This window comes from Homo sapiens, chromosome 16, assembly GCF_000001405.40.
Source record: "Homo sapiens chromosome 16, GRCh38.p14 Primary Assembly".
NCBI lineage: Eukaryota > Metazoa > Chordata > Mammalia > Primates > Hominidae > Homo > Homo sapiens.
This window is the reverse complement of record NC_000016.10, coordinates 29,425,411-29,439,673: the sequence shown is the minus strand read 5'-3', so window position 1 is coordinate 29,439,673 and position 14,263 is coordinate 29,425,411. Positions and strand designations below refer to the sequence as shown.

At 37.9% G+C, this 14,263-nt stretch overlaps 1 non-coding gene and 1 pseudogene across 2 annotated transcripts in view; both read left to right on the top strand.

The window, feature by feature from the left end:
* The window catches only part of SMG1P6 (SMG1 pseudogene 6), a 21,616-nt pseudogene extending 7,353 nt beyond the window's left edge, over positions 1-14,263 (top strand). Inside the window, exons 5-19 of the transcript NR_135312.1 lie at positions 9-170; positions 876-994; positions 1,454-1,541; positions 1,631-1,732; positions 2,352-2,492; positions 3,045-3,244; positions 3,632-3,828; positions 3,997-4,161; positions 5,258-5,412; positions 7,903-8,045; positions 8,194-8,395; positions 11,263-11,372; positions 12,345-12,492; positions 12,867-13,026; positions 13,755-14,263. The product of NR_135312.1 is annotated as an SMG1 pseudogene 6 (transcript). The remainder of the gene's footprint in view (positions 1-8; positions 171-875; positions 995-1,453; positions 1,542-1,630; positions 1,733-2,351; positions 2,493-3,044; positions 3,245-3,631; positions 3,829-3,996; positions 4,162-5,257; positions 5,413-7,902; positions 8,046-8,193; positions 8,396-11,262; positions 11,373-12,344; positions 12,493-12,866; positions 13,027-13,754) is intronic.
* On the top strand, positions 2,074-2,177 carry LOC124903796 (small nucleolar RNA U13). The gene has a single exon (XR_007065241.1). It is a non-coding gene; the product is annotated as a small nucleolar RNA U13 (small nucleolar RNA).

Genomic DNA, 14,263 nt, shown 5'->3' with positions numbered 1-14,263 from the left:
TCTTTCAGGCATGATCACTTTATCTCTAGTAGCCTCAGTTCTTCCTCTCCTTCTTTGTTTGATGGAGCTGTGATTAGCACTGTAACTACGGCCACAAAGAAACATTTCTCAATTATATTAAATCTTCTGTGAATATTACTTAAGAAAGATAACCTTAACCAGGACACGAGGTAACAGATTTTATATAGTATTAACTATTCCTAACTTTGTTAATTTGCCTTTATAATTTGAGAATAAGAAATGTGAATTACAAAAAATTTTAAAAAATGTGGATTATAGAGGTGAGGTAGAGCAGCTTCTTTACTGTCAAACACCTTATAATTTGGTTTTATTATTTAATCTAGGCTTTCTTATTCTTTCTGAAAAGAAATACATGAAAAACCTCAATCCCCCACCCCCAGTGTTTCATAGAAGAATATATATAGATTTTTAATATTCTATGCTTTTTTTGTTTTTGAGACGGAGTTTTGCTCACTGCAACCTCTGCCTCCCAGGTTCAAGCAATTCTTCTGCCTCAGCCTCCCAAGTAGCCGTGATTACAGGTGCCCGCCACCACACCCAGCTAATTTTTGTATTTTTAGTAGAGATGGTGTTTCACCATGTTGTTGGCCAGGCTGGTCTTGAACTCCTGACCTCAGGTAAGCCACCACGCCCGGCCTCTTTGCTATTATCATGCTGCGTTGGGAGGTTTTCTTAAAAGGCACACAACAATTTTGACAGTAATTTCTATAGTTTCATTTTTTATTTTTATTTTTTATTGTTTGAGATGTTTGAAAAACCAAGAGAAAACCAATGTAAGAAGACTAGGCTTTTAACGTTTTTTTGTTTTTGTTATTGTTTTTAATGTACAGTCAACTGTATATTTTGTGTTTCAGGAAACTGTTAATGACTTGGGCTTTGGAAGTAGCTGTTTTAATGAAGAAGTCCGAAACATATGCACCTTTATTCTGTCTTCCGTCTTTCCATAAATTTTGCAAAGGCCTTTTAGCCAACAGTAAGACTCTGTTTTTTTTTTTCTATTTTGTTTATCAATCCTTGGTAATGGGAGATGGTCATCAATAGAGCTCTTTTCCTGACCTGCAGATGTGTAATCCTCATTTTAATGACAGATACACAGTCTTGATTTTTTTTCATTCTTAGTATTAGAAAAATGTTTTGAAGTGATTGTCACATTTTTAAGCTTACGTGAATGTTTATAGTTTGCATATACTTTTACATTTTCTCTCAGAAAAAGTTTTGTGTGATGACCCATCAGTTACATTACGTGGGTTTTGTTGAATGTGTCATTTTTCCAAACGTGACAGTCAATGAGGATTCTGGACAAGAACAGTGCCTAGTCTAGAGTAGGCACTCACTCTTTGTTGAATGAATGAATGGATTCAGATAATTATGACAAACTGGGATATAATTTCTTTTGGCCAGCTGAAAGTAACTGTCTTTTAATGTTTAATAGCTCTCGTTGAAGATGTGAATATCTGTCTGCAGGCATGCAGCAGTCTACCTGCTCTGTCCTCTTCCTTGCCAGATGATCTTTTACAGAGGTATGAAATTAAGATCATGTCTTTTGACATTAACCCTAATAACTTTGAAATGTTAACACACCTGCTTTGTCTATTTCGTTCTTTCATAGATGTGTTGATGTTTGCCGTGTTCAACTAGTGCACTGTGGAACTCGTATTCGACAAGCATTTGGAAAACTGTTGAAATCAATTCCTTTAGATGTTATCCTAAGGTATAACAGTTGTTTTGGAGCAAAGACATTCTGTGATATTTACAGCCTCTACTGGTTGTCTACTTTAGGAGAAGACAGATCACCTATTAGAGCATTAATGACACATCTTTTATGGCCCTGCTTGTCAGTGATTGAAGTGATGTCAAATAATCAAATTTTGCAGGTCTGCAAGAAAATTAAAAATTTTTAATGAGCTTTATAGGCTCACAATAATTAGTATAGAATAACTCATGTAGTGCCAAAATATGTTTCTTAGTAGCTCAGATATTTGAAAAACTAAACAGTAATCTTTTATTGTTTTTGATCAAGTTGATTTGGGAGCTTTTAAGAGCCTAAACTTGATCCTTTTGTAATACATAAGCATAATGATTGGGTTTTTATGTTCACATGTTTGATATGCCTCCCTCAAATCCTCTTATGATGTCGGCACATGACCCATCTGAAGTGAATAAAAAAAGGATCTAAAGTTGTAATCACATCTCCGTATCCATTTGAAAGTCTCAATTTTTCTATATTTTTACCTCCAGTGAGTTAATAAGTAAATAATCCACTTACAGTATGTGCTAACCTTTTAAGCTAAAATATTTTGCGTAACAACAACTTTGTTTTCTGTCTACAGCAATAACAATCACACAGAAATTCAAGAAATTTCTTTAGCATTAAGAAGTCACATGAGTAAAGCACCAAGTAATACATTCCACCCCCAAGATTTCTCTGATGTTATTAGTTTTATTTTGTATGGGAACTCTCATAGAACAGGGTAAGGCATTTCTTTGACTATTTTATCTAGGAAAGATAATTTTAAGATTCCCTTGACTTTACATGCAGTTTTGAAGAGAAAATATGTTTGGGGGTGGCAGAGTATCAAGTAACATTCTTCTCATATGGGTTATTTCAGTTTTCATCAATAGGAAAATTACTTTGAAGATAGCATCTGTAGAAACAAAAATGGGCTTTGAAATTGAGTAATGAAATGTGGTTAACAGTTAACTGATGTGATGTCATTAACACTTTGGGGAATGGGGTGGGGGTGGAGATATTCTAGAGATGCTTAGTTGCATTGAATGAGTTTCATTCCTGACCGGCATGAGCCGTTTACCCTAATCATCCTTCCACACTGTACCTCATCCTGTTAACTATAAAAGACCTCAAAATAAGAGGGGGGGGACATAATGCTTCTCAATTTCATAGGTTTTGCCTTTTTTTGGAGTAGGGAAAATTACAGTTCCTTATTCCCATTCCCCTTGCATTTTTTTTTCATTATTAAAATGAAGTTGTCATTGTCTTTTAAATATGAAACTACTTTTCCCAGGAAGGACAATTGGTTGGAAAGACTGTTCTATAGCTGCCAGAGACTGGATAAGCATGACCAGTCAACAATTCCACGCAATCTCCTGAAGACAGATGCTATCCTTTGGCAGTGGGCCATATGGGAAGCTGCACAATTCACTGTTCTTTCTAAGCTGAGAACCCCACTGGGCAGAGCTCAAGACACCTTCCAGACAATTGAAGGTAACTCGCTCAAGCTTTGTGATGTGAATACTTTCAAAGCCTTATTAAGAAATAATGGATTTTTAAATCTTTGTTAAAGATTTGAGAGTATATGATTTTTTTGAAAAGAAGTCAATAATTTTCAGGTATGTTTGTTAGAATAAGCTTTCATTGAATAATTGCATTGGAAATATGTTTGTTTTTTTCCCAAAACTTATGGGAGTTGTGTGGAAAAAATATATATTTTTTTCCCCTAAAATGAAAGATCTTTCATGTTGGGATTTTTTATTTTTAAATGATGGGTAGACAGAGGATACTTGATAAATGTGAATTGGTCATAAAAAACTCACACTTATTCTAGGAACTTTTAAGATTTTTAAAAATTCAGAATGTTGTCTTTGCTTTCAGGTATCATTCGAAGTCTCGCAGCTCACACATTAAACCCTGATCAGGATGTTAGTCAGTGGACAACTGCAGACAGTGATGAAGGCCATGGTAACAACCAACTTAGACTTGTTCTTCTTCTGCAGTATCTGGAATATCTGGAGAAATTAATGTATAATGCATACGAGGGATGTGCTAATGCATTAACTTCACCTCCCAAGGTTGGTTTCCATGAGATAGTGTTGTTTTATAGCAGTTTAATGGTCACAGCTGGCAGTATGTGCAGAGCTGAAATCACAATAGACTTGTGTATTTGGTTTATATATAGGTGAGACATCCTTACCTACAAATTGAACCAGTCCTGAGCTTTTCTTTCTCTTATCGTAAAGGTCATTAGAACTTTTTTCTATACCAATCACCAAACTTGTCAGGACTGGCTAACGCGGATTCGACTCTCCATCATGAGGGTAGGATTGTTGGCAGGCCAGCCTGCAGTGACAGTGAGACATGGCTTTGACTTGCTTACAGAGATGAAAACAACCAGCCTATCTCAGGTAAAGTGGTGTGTTTGAAATTCATTTTAAGTCTGTTAATAAGAAAAACATGGTTTAATTCCTTTGGTATGATTTAATCTATGGATAAAATAAGTTAAAGCTTGGATTCATTTTCAAAGGTTTTGATCCTGTATTTTGTAAAAGCAACAACTGCCAGAGTTACCTATTTTATTCGTGTTAAAACAGTGTTAGAAGTTAAAATAATGTTCATGTTTTTGTTCATGTTAAAACAATATTCATCTTAGAACATGTTAAAACTATATTTCTTATGTGCAAAGTTTAGAACTTTAAAGGTAATTCTGAAAATTTGTTTATGGGGGAAATTTTTTATTTATTTATTTATTTTTTTGAGACACAGCACTCTGTCGCCCAGGCTGGAGTGCAGTTGTGTGATCTCGGCTCACTGTAAGCTCCGCCTCTCGGGTTCAAGCCTCTTCTTGCCTCAGTCCCTGGGATTACAGGCACCCACCACCATACCCAGCTAAGTTTTGTATTTTTAGTAGAGACAGGGTTTCACCATGTTGGCCAGGCTGGTCTCGAACTCCTGACCACAAGTGATCCGCCCACCTTGGCCTTCCAAAGTGCTGGGATTACAGGCATGAGCCACTGCACCTGGCCAGGAGAAATTGTTTTTATAACATATGACAAATGCTTGAGTAATTCCTGGCTTGAAAGTGGGCTCACAATAAATAACTGGAATCCAAAAATAACAAAATGTTTAGCAATTCAGGTAATGTCAAGCAGTATTCAAACACATGAAGTTAATCATTCTTTAATTCCTGTTTATTTATATTTAATTTTTGCTTTCTTTTTACTCCATGTGTTATTCCTACAGAGGTCACAGGTTAAATGTTTGGGTAACTTTGGGGTGGGGGTGCAAACATCCATGTGCTGCTAAGGTTCTGTTAGTCACCCTTTGTGGCTATTTTATATGTAACATTTTAAAGAATTCTGAGCTAAATAATGTGAAAATTGTGAAAATAATTGTTAAATACATTTGGCTTTAAGCAGGCACAGACTGTGATCAGTTGTAAATTTTATAGGGATTTATGTTTTAATGGTATTGGGTGACTAACTTTTCTGAATGCGTTTTCAGGGGAATGAATTGGAAGTAACCATTATGATGGTGGTAGAAGCACTATGTGAACTTCATTGTCCTGAAGCTATACAGGGAATTGCTGTCTGGTCATCATCTATTGTTGGAAAAAATCTTCTGTGGATTAACTCAGTGGCTCAACAGGCTGAAGGGAGGTAGGTTGGAGGGAAGGAAATGGGTGATAGAATTACTTTATGTTTAAATTCTTTGTATTACTCACTGACATTGTAGCCAAATCTTAAAACAGCTTTGTTTGCTTTCAGCATTGAAGCTTGCTATAAATCACTTCACCAGGAGGCATCTTCAGTTTGTTCTTTAGTTAGCAGTAATACTTGAGTGCCTTTCTTATTTAAGAATTAGTGGCAAATCACACTGAAAAACAAGACCTGTCAGTTGTTTTATAAATGCTTTTGAACTTGATCCCTAGTTGAGCTCCTTCCCCCTCAGAGTCTGATACAAATTACCCTTTATTGTCAGAGTATTTGCTCATTAGTCCTGTGAACTCTACATTCAGACTCATTGCTTCCTCCAGATAGAGGAGCTTGTACCATAATATTCTGTGTCCATTTATGTTAGTTTAATGAAATCTTGCGAATTTAGGAAAATAAAAGAACTGCTCATTCTTCCATATCTTTGTAGTAACTTCTGTTGTGTGTCCTTTTGTAGTCCCATATTTCCATATCCATATGCTTTGTAATTCTTTTTTCTTTCATGTCGTTTTCTCCATTCTTCACCAAAACAGCAGCATACATAGGCACATGGTTTTATGATCTGTTTTTCCCACTCAATATTTAAAAAAAAAAATTTGCCATGTTAGGTAGGCTGGGTTCGGTGGCTTACATCTGTATTCCCAGCACTTTGGGAGGCCGAGGCAGGTGGATCACCTGAGGTCAGGAGTTTGAGACTAGCCTAACATGGTGAAACCCCGTCTCTACTAAAAATACAAAAAATATTAGTGGGGTGTGGTGGCACATGCCTGTAATCCCAGCTACTTGGGAGGCTGAGGCAGGAGAATCGGTTGAACCCGGGAGGCGGAGGTTGCTGTGAGCCCAGGTTGTGCCACTGCCCTCCAGCCTGGGCAACAAAAGCAAAACTCTGTCTCAAAAAAAAAAAAAAAAAAAAATTGCCATGTTAAGTATTCTACAGTGTTATTTTTAATAAAGATTTGTATTTATGAGTGTACCATAATTTAATATTTCTTACTGTTGGGCATTAAGGTTGTTTCTGATTTTTTTTTTACTAAATGTACCATAGCACTTAATATCTTTGCTTATATTTCTGATTACTTTCTTGGAATCCATTCTCATAAACTGATTTACTAGAAGAAAGGCTGCCAAACCATAAGTCTTATGATATATTCTATTGCTAAGTTACTCTACAGAAAAGATGGCTGCAATGTATACCCTTAATAATAGAGTACACCCTTCCCTTCACCTTTGTGGATACTGAGAGTCACTGAGAAACAAGAATGCTGCCACCACCATCAGCGAAAATAGTTATTGTACTTTACATTTCTATATGTATTAATGACTAATAGTAGAAGTTGCCCCATATAGTGACCATTTGTGATTTTTTAAAACATGGATCATGTCTTCATGGCCTCTCAATTTTTCCTGTGTTAATCTGTGAAATTTCATTAAATACTAAGATTGTTGATGCTATCCAATTTCTTGATTTATAATTTGTTTTTAATGTTTAGTGTTGTATTTCAGCATTATGCATCTAGATGCTGTTACTTGTGCATCTTTTCTTGCATTTTATCCTTCTACAAAGCCTTTCCACACACTGACATCAGTTACTTATCAATATTTTCCACTAGTTCTTTTATCCTCTTACATTTTTTAAAAAACATTTAACCACTTTTAAATTTAGTTTCATAGTTGTGAGGAAGACATCAAACCTCCCCCCACCATAGTCAACTCACTGTTTTAGCTCAGTTTATTCTTGCACCATTTTTTGTGGGAGGGGGGAAATGAGATATGTGTGTTTAACATAACAGCCTCCTTTGGGGCTGGGCGCGGTGGCTCACGCCTGAAATCCCAGTACTTGGGGAGACTGAGGTGAGCGGATCGCTTGAGTCCAGGAGTTTGAGACCACCCTGGCCAACAGAGCAAAACCTTGTTTTAGCCAGGTGTGGTGGTGGGCGCCTGTAGTCCCAGCTACTTGGGAGGCTGAGGTTGGAGGATTGCATGAGCCTGGGAGGGCAAGGCTGCAGCGAGCCATGATCATGCCACTGCCCTCCAGCCTGGGTGACAGTAAGACTGTCTCAAAAAACAAATAAGTAAGTAAGTAAAGGCCAGGTGCGGTGGCTCATGCCTGTAATCCCAGCACTTCGGGAGGCCGAGGCAGGCGGATCACCTGAGGTCAGGAGTTCAAGACCAGCCTGGCCAACATGGTGAAACCCCGTCTCTACTAAAAATACAAGAAAATTAGCCGGGCATGGTGGCGAGCGCCTGTAATCCCAGCTACTCAGGAGGCTGAGGCAGGAGAATCGCTTGTACCCAGGAGGCAGAGGTTGCATTGAGCTGAGACAGTGCCATTGCACTCCAGCCTGGGCAAGAAGAGCAAAACTTCATCTCAAAAAAAAAAAAAAAGTAAGTAAGTAGATAAATAAAGAAATAAGACTGCTTCAATTTGCTTTTCAGGTTTGAAAAGGCCTCTGTGGAGTACCAGGAACACCTGTGTGCCATGATAGGTGTTCATTGCTGCATCTCCAGCTTTGACAAATCGGTGCTCACCTTAGCCAATGCTGGGTGTAACAGTGCCAGCCCGAAACATTGTCTGAATGGTGAGCGTTCAGTATTTTTAAATAAAGCAAAAGTTATAGTAATATATTTCGTACTGATGATCTTATCATGTTTTTAGGTTTCTGTGCTCTTTGAAATATTTCTAATTGATCTGAATCTCTCTCTTCTTATTTTATAAAATACTTTCAGGTGAATCCAGAAAAACTGTGCTGTCCAAACCGACTGACTCTTCCCCTGAGGTTATAAATTATTTAGGAAATAAAGCATGTGAGTGCTACATCTCAATTGCCGATTGGGCTGCTGTGCAGGAATGGCAGAACGCTATCCATGACTTGAAAAAGAGTACCAGTAGCACTTCCCTCAACCTGAAAGCTGACTTCAACTATATAAAGTAAGGCTTTCTGTTTCCAGTTATAAAACAAATTTCCAATAACTACGATGTTTTTCCTATGGCAAAAAAATATTAAAATTGGTCATATGTAGTAATACAAAATGGTTATATTTCTAACTTACTGCCATTATGAAAATGACAACAGGAAACTGACATCAGAGATGAGGGAAGGTATTTGTATAATGGGAAAACACTGCTGAGATAGTCATTTGGTATTAATTTTCAGAACCTGTTGTTCTAAAACCTTAATACAGTTTGAAGATTATGCCAGAGTGAATATAAAGAAAAATTTGTACTGCTTTAGAAAGAATCACATTTGATGGCTTTGTTTCTAAATGAGGTCTGAATATATCAAAAACATTTATTCTAATGAGGACAGAGTTTGTGAACATCTGTAAATTAAACTTTCTTCTCATTCCTCTGTGCTTTTATTAATTCTGTAATTCAAAACTGAGCACTCACTCTGTTGCAGACACTTGGCTGGGAAGATAAAGGTCATTAGACTTTGTCTGATACTTCTACTGCTAAATGGGTTAATGTGTAATTGCTTCACTGAGCATGTGCTATGACCCAGGCAGCACATAAAACAGACACAAATTCCAACCTTTTAAAGCAAAGATTAGATAAAGATTATTGATAGAAGGATTAATTGGACCTCACTCACCTTTTCTGTGCCATAAGGAAAGCAGTTAGGTAAAGCTGACCTTCTTTGGAGGGAAGACACAAGGTCAAGGCATGCCCATCAGGATGCCCTTTGGGCCTAGACCTGATGTGAGAATGATGGGCTTGGAGTGTTCTGGAAATAGCTGGGAGGCCTGTGTGTTTAGGAGCGCCTTAAACAGTAGGATATAAGGGCAGAGAAGTAGCTGGGAACTGAGAAAAGAACTTTGGCTGTTATTCTAGTAAGACTGAAAATTTCAGGTGGGATTTGAACAGAGATGTGTTGTGATCTGACTTGGTGGTTCATTCTGCTATGGTGAAGAGACTGGAGGTGGGGGGCAAGTATGGAAGCATGGAGACCATTAATTTGTGGGGGCAATGGTAGAGGGAAGAGAAACAATGCTATTAACTGGAGTAGGAGCACACAGAGAACAAGCCATGTTTTAAGATTTCTAATGAAATGTGCAGACGAGATTGTTGGGTAAGCTGTTAAGAATTGGATTTTGAACTAAGGAGAAAGTCTAAGCTTGAGAGATTTGCAGATCATTAGTACACAGAAAAGACCCTCTTTCCTTTTCAGTGTCTATACTCTAGAGCCTTTGTAAGCAACCAAACCAGAGAGAAGCCTCTGGAGAATATTGAGTGAAGAGGAAGGAAGGCCTGGGTCAGAATCCTAGTTTAGCATTTTTGTGAAAGGATAGAAGAGGAAGCCATTCAAAAAAATACAGGGACATTGAGAAGGGAAGTGTCCTAGATTAGGACATCCAGATGAGAGTAGTCAGCCTTGTCAGATGCTCTAGGGATTATAAGGAAAAAGAGTTTTGTAGAGAGACAGAAGAAGCTAAATTGAATACTATTGAGTGGTAGAGACATTTGAAAATGAAAAGCTTGAGGTAAGTTATTTGGTCAGTGAGTTTTTCTTGAAGTCGAGGATAGGAAGCTGTTGCTGGAGGGAAATATGAGATGTTTATTTTAAATGTTGGAGAGATTATGTTCTTTTGGCCAAGGGGAAGGAGCCACTAGAAAGCAGAGGTTGAAGGAACAGGAGAAAGAACATTGATAGATTAACTGGCCCTCACCTTTTCTCTGCCCCAAGGAAAGCAGTCAAAGTTGGTATAGACAGAATTTCAGCAGTGTATGGTGGATCGGGGGTAGGGGTAGAGGAAATTAAAGCCTGTTTTTTTTTGTTTGTTTGTTTTTCTGAGGACTGAGTCATTAGCTGAAAGCATAGGGCATTATAGAGCATAGTGGGGACTTGAGGAACCTGCCACTGGAGAGGACTTAGGACCTTTTAATGGCAGAAATGATGAATGTGTTGGCAGCAGTTCATCAGTGCCCAGTACTCAAGGGTCCCCCTGAGAAGCCAGTGGTTGCACTGATCTAGGTAGAATCAGGCACAGAATAAGTCAGGTGATGTGCCTTTCTAGCACTGGCCTCAGGCTGAGTTATAAGGGAAGTTACACAGCGAGAGGGACAGGCAAAGATGGAAAAGAGAGAGAGTGAGAAACAGTGTCTTCTTCCTGGCTGGAGAGCCCGTGTCATGAAAATGGGGACAGGGTAAGGGATCTGAAAGGAGCAGCATAGAAGCTGGGAGGATGAGGTCTGTCTTCCTGGCATTGATGCTGCAGGACTACAGGAAAGAATTTCAGAGGTGTCATTATTTTTCATATAAGCAGATGAAAGAGAAGAATTCTTTGAAAAAAGAAAAGTAGGTGAAAAAGGGAGAGACGGAGGGACGCCAGCAGTGAAAGAAGCCAGGACTGAGATACAAGATTGTGATGCTGGGAGAGCTGCAAGGGCTCATGCTGTAGGTGAGGAGTGAGGCTGCACAGGGAGCTCACTGGCAGCTTGGAGAGAACTGGGTGTCAAAGTTGTCCTGCAGAGGTCTACTGTCAGTGTGTTAGGCTCTGAAGAGAACAGGCTGCAACACATGAAAACAGGAAGGAGACACAGGCGAGTCAGCTCCACTGAAAGTCTGTAGCTGTGACTTTCTGGTTTGCCACTCCAATTTGAGTACTAATTAAGTGGTAGTCACATCTTCAACATAAAAACCAAAATAATGGCATCCTCGTGGAAGGAATTTTGTCAGAAAAATGCTGTGTACTTTGCTGTCTTCCTAGGATTTGTTCTGTTTTTGTTTGTTTGTTTTTTTTTAATGGTTCCACAGGCTGCGTAGGAATACAAGCTAACCAATATTTTAATTACAGATCATTAAGCAGCTTTGAGTCTGGAAAATTTGTTGAATGTACCGAGCAATTAGAATTGTTACCAGGAGAAAATATCAGTCTACTTGCTGGAGGATCAAAAGAAAAAATAGGTAGGTATTTGAGAAAATAGTTTTAAAGTTATTTTAGTGGACAAGTTGCTCAAAATGTTTGGCTTAGTATATTTTACTGGAAAATCTGGAAGTTATTTTACATTTTTGGGGGGGCAGAATCCCATGTGAAGCAACAAATTTAGGGCTGCCCTATTTATGTTTGATTTGGGAAATGAAAAGCACTTAAAATTAAGTCAAATAAAAAAAATGGCCACTTTAATACTTTGAGATTTATCTAGCCATTTTGTTTGATAAAGGACAAAGTAGTGTTTCAGCTAAATATTTTTCTTGATTTTCATCGATGTGGCTCATTAATTAAGTTCTTTGTCACAAATGGAACACTTTATAAAATGTTATTAAAAAGTTTAATGAGTATTCTGGATTGAGCAAGATTTGCTAATGCAGGTCTAGATTTGTCCCCTTAAATAGTAGATTGACTTACCGACTTTCTTTTTTGTTGAGACAGTCTCACTCTGTTGCCCAGGCTGGAGTGCAGTGGCGCGATTTCGGCTCACTGCAACCTCCGCCCTCTGAGTTCAAGCGATTCTCCTGCCTCAGCCTCCTGAGTAGCTGGGATTACAGGTGTCTGTCACCGTGCCCAGCTAATTTTTAGTATTTTTAGTAGAGACGGGGTTTCATCATCTTGGCCAGGCTGGTCTTGAACTCCTGACTTTGTGATCCACCCACCTTGGCCTCCCAAAGTGCTGGGATTACAGGCGTGAGCCACCACGCCTGGCCTCGACTTACTGATTTTTGAGCCTTTGAAGGCAACTGCTTTTTAGGGGTCTGAGGTACAGTAATTTTGTATGAAGTATGATTTTTATATAGCTCTCAGTAATGCTTATAGTGTTTAACTGCCTTAAATATTAAAGGAGCTGTTCATTGGTGATTAGTTTTTAATAATGCCAAACATAAATCAAAATTTATAATAAAAGCACATTAACTTAATGACATTTCATTTAACTTCTGTAGACATGAAAAAACTGCTTCGTAACATGTTAAGTCCAGATCCAAGGGAACCTCAGAAATCCATTGAAGTTCAATTGTTAAGAAGTTCTGTTTGTTTGGCAACTGCTTTAAACCCGATAGAACAAGATCAGAAGTGGCAGTCTGTAACTGAGTAAGTTTACTCTTACGGAGGTAAATGTACATTGTGTATATCATGTGATAAACATACATGGGGTGAAGAGGGCTGGAAGGAGAGTTACTAGATTACTAAATACTAGTGCTAATAGCTTCATTTTAGTTGTAGAAGTCATATGATATATGAATGCTGTTTGCCAACAAAAACTGAGGTTGAAATGAAATAAAATGTAAAAATCCCCAAAAGCAAATGTCTTGACTTGCTAATATCATTTTATTATAGAGCAGGCTGCTCCTCTTACTGCCCCCTAACTTTGGATGTCAGTTTGACAGCATCTTATCAATTGCTTTATTCTTTGAGTGGTTATGAATTGTAATTTTTATTAATTGACAGTAAATATTTTGTTTCAGAAATGTGGTAAAGTACTTGAAGCAAACATCCCGCATCGCTGTTGGACCTCTGAGACTTTCTACTTTAACAGTTTCACAGTCTTTGCCAGTTCTAAGTACCTTGCAGCTGTATTGCTCATCTGCTTTGGAGAACACAGTTTCTAACAGACTTTCAACAGAGGTCTGTATATTTTTACAAGCACATTCTTATGACTATTAATGGTCATTACTGTAGAACAAAGACCTTATTTTTTGAGTTTTTTGAAATAGGATTTGTAGTTGGGCAAGCTGGTAAATCCAGAAATCTAACATGCTGTTTTCAGGCAGTCTTTCATTTGGGAAGTACATGGGGCAGATGGAAGAACCTGAGATAATCGCAAGGATGGCAAATTGCTCTGTTTTTTCTTCTATTTTTGGGGTGGGAGGTGGTGTATGTAAAGACAGTTCCTTTAGGCGGATTACGTAAATTTTAGATTTGCTGCAAACAAAGATCTCTCTTCTTCATCCTAAATGGGGTAAAGTTCAACCAGAGATGGGGGCTTCTGAATGAATGATGATCTTCGAGAACTTCATAATAAAGCATTAGTTGTAATGTTTTTCTGCAGTCTGCTTTATAGTAAATGTGCTGTGACTTTTTTTTTGTAATGTGCTTTATTAATGTATTGATAAATTAGACTTAATATTCTGAAGAAGATTTCCCTTCAAAACAAAAGGCTTTCTCTTACTGTGTGCTTGCCTCTTGTGAGTAGAAGATAAATGATGTAAGGGTATAGTGTAATAGATAAAACTATTGCAATCAATCTGAAGTAGCCAAACTATATTGCAGTCTTGGACTTAAGACTTGCTATATATCTGCAAACATATCAACAGCCTGTTTTACGTTGAGTAATTTTGGTTTTTCTCTGGCAGGACTGTCTTATTCCACTCTTCGGTGAAGCTTTATGTTCATGTAAACAGCATGACGTGAGGCCATGGATGCAGGCATTAAGGTATACTGTGTACCAGAATCAGTTGTTGGAGAAAATTAAAGTTAAGTGGTTTTCCTTTCTTTTTTGTAAGAGAAAATTAAAGGTGGTTTTTTTTTTTTTAATTTTGCTTTATTGAGGTTTATATTACACATTCTAAGTGTATGGTTTGATGAGTTCTAACATGTCTTCACTTGTGTGACCACCAATACGATCAAGATACAGAACAGCGTCTTACCCCAGAAGGTTCCCTTGGGATCATCTCATTTGCCCCTGTCAGCAGTTATTGATTTGCTTTCTGTCACTATGGATTAGACTTGTTTTTACTAAAGTTTCATGTACGTGAAATCATAACAACATGTTCTCTTGTGTTTGGCTTCTCTTGCTCAGCATGATATTTTTAAGGTTCACCCATATTGCATGTATCAAGAATACAATCCTTTTTATTATTGA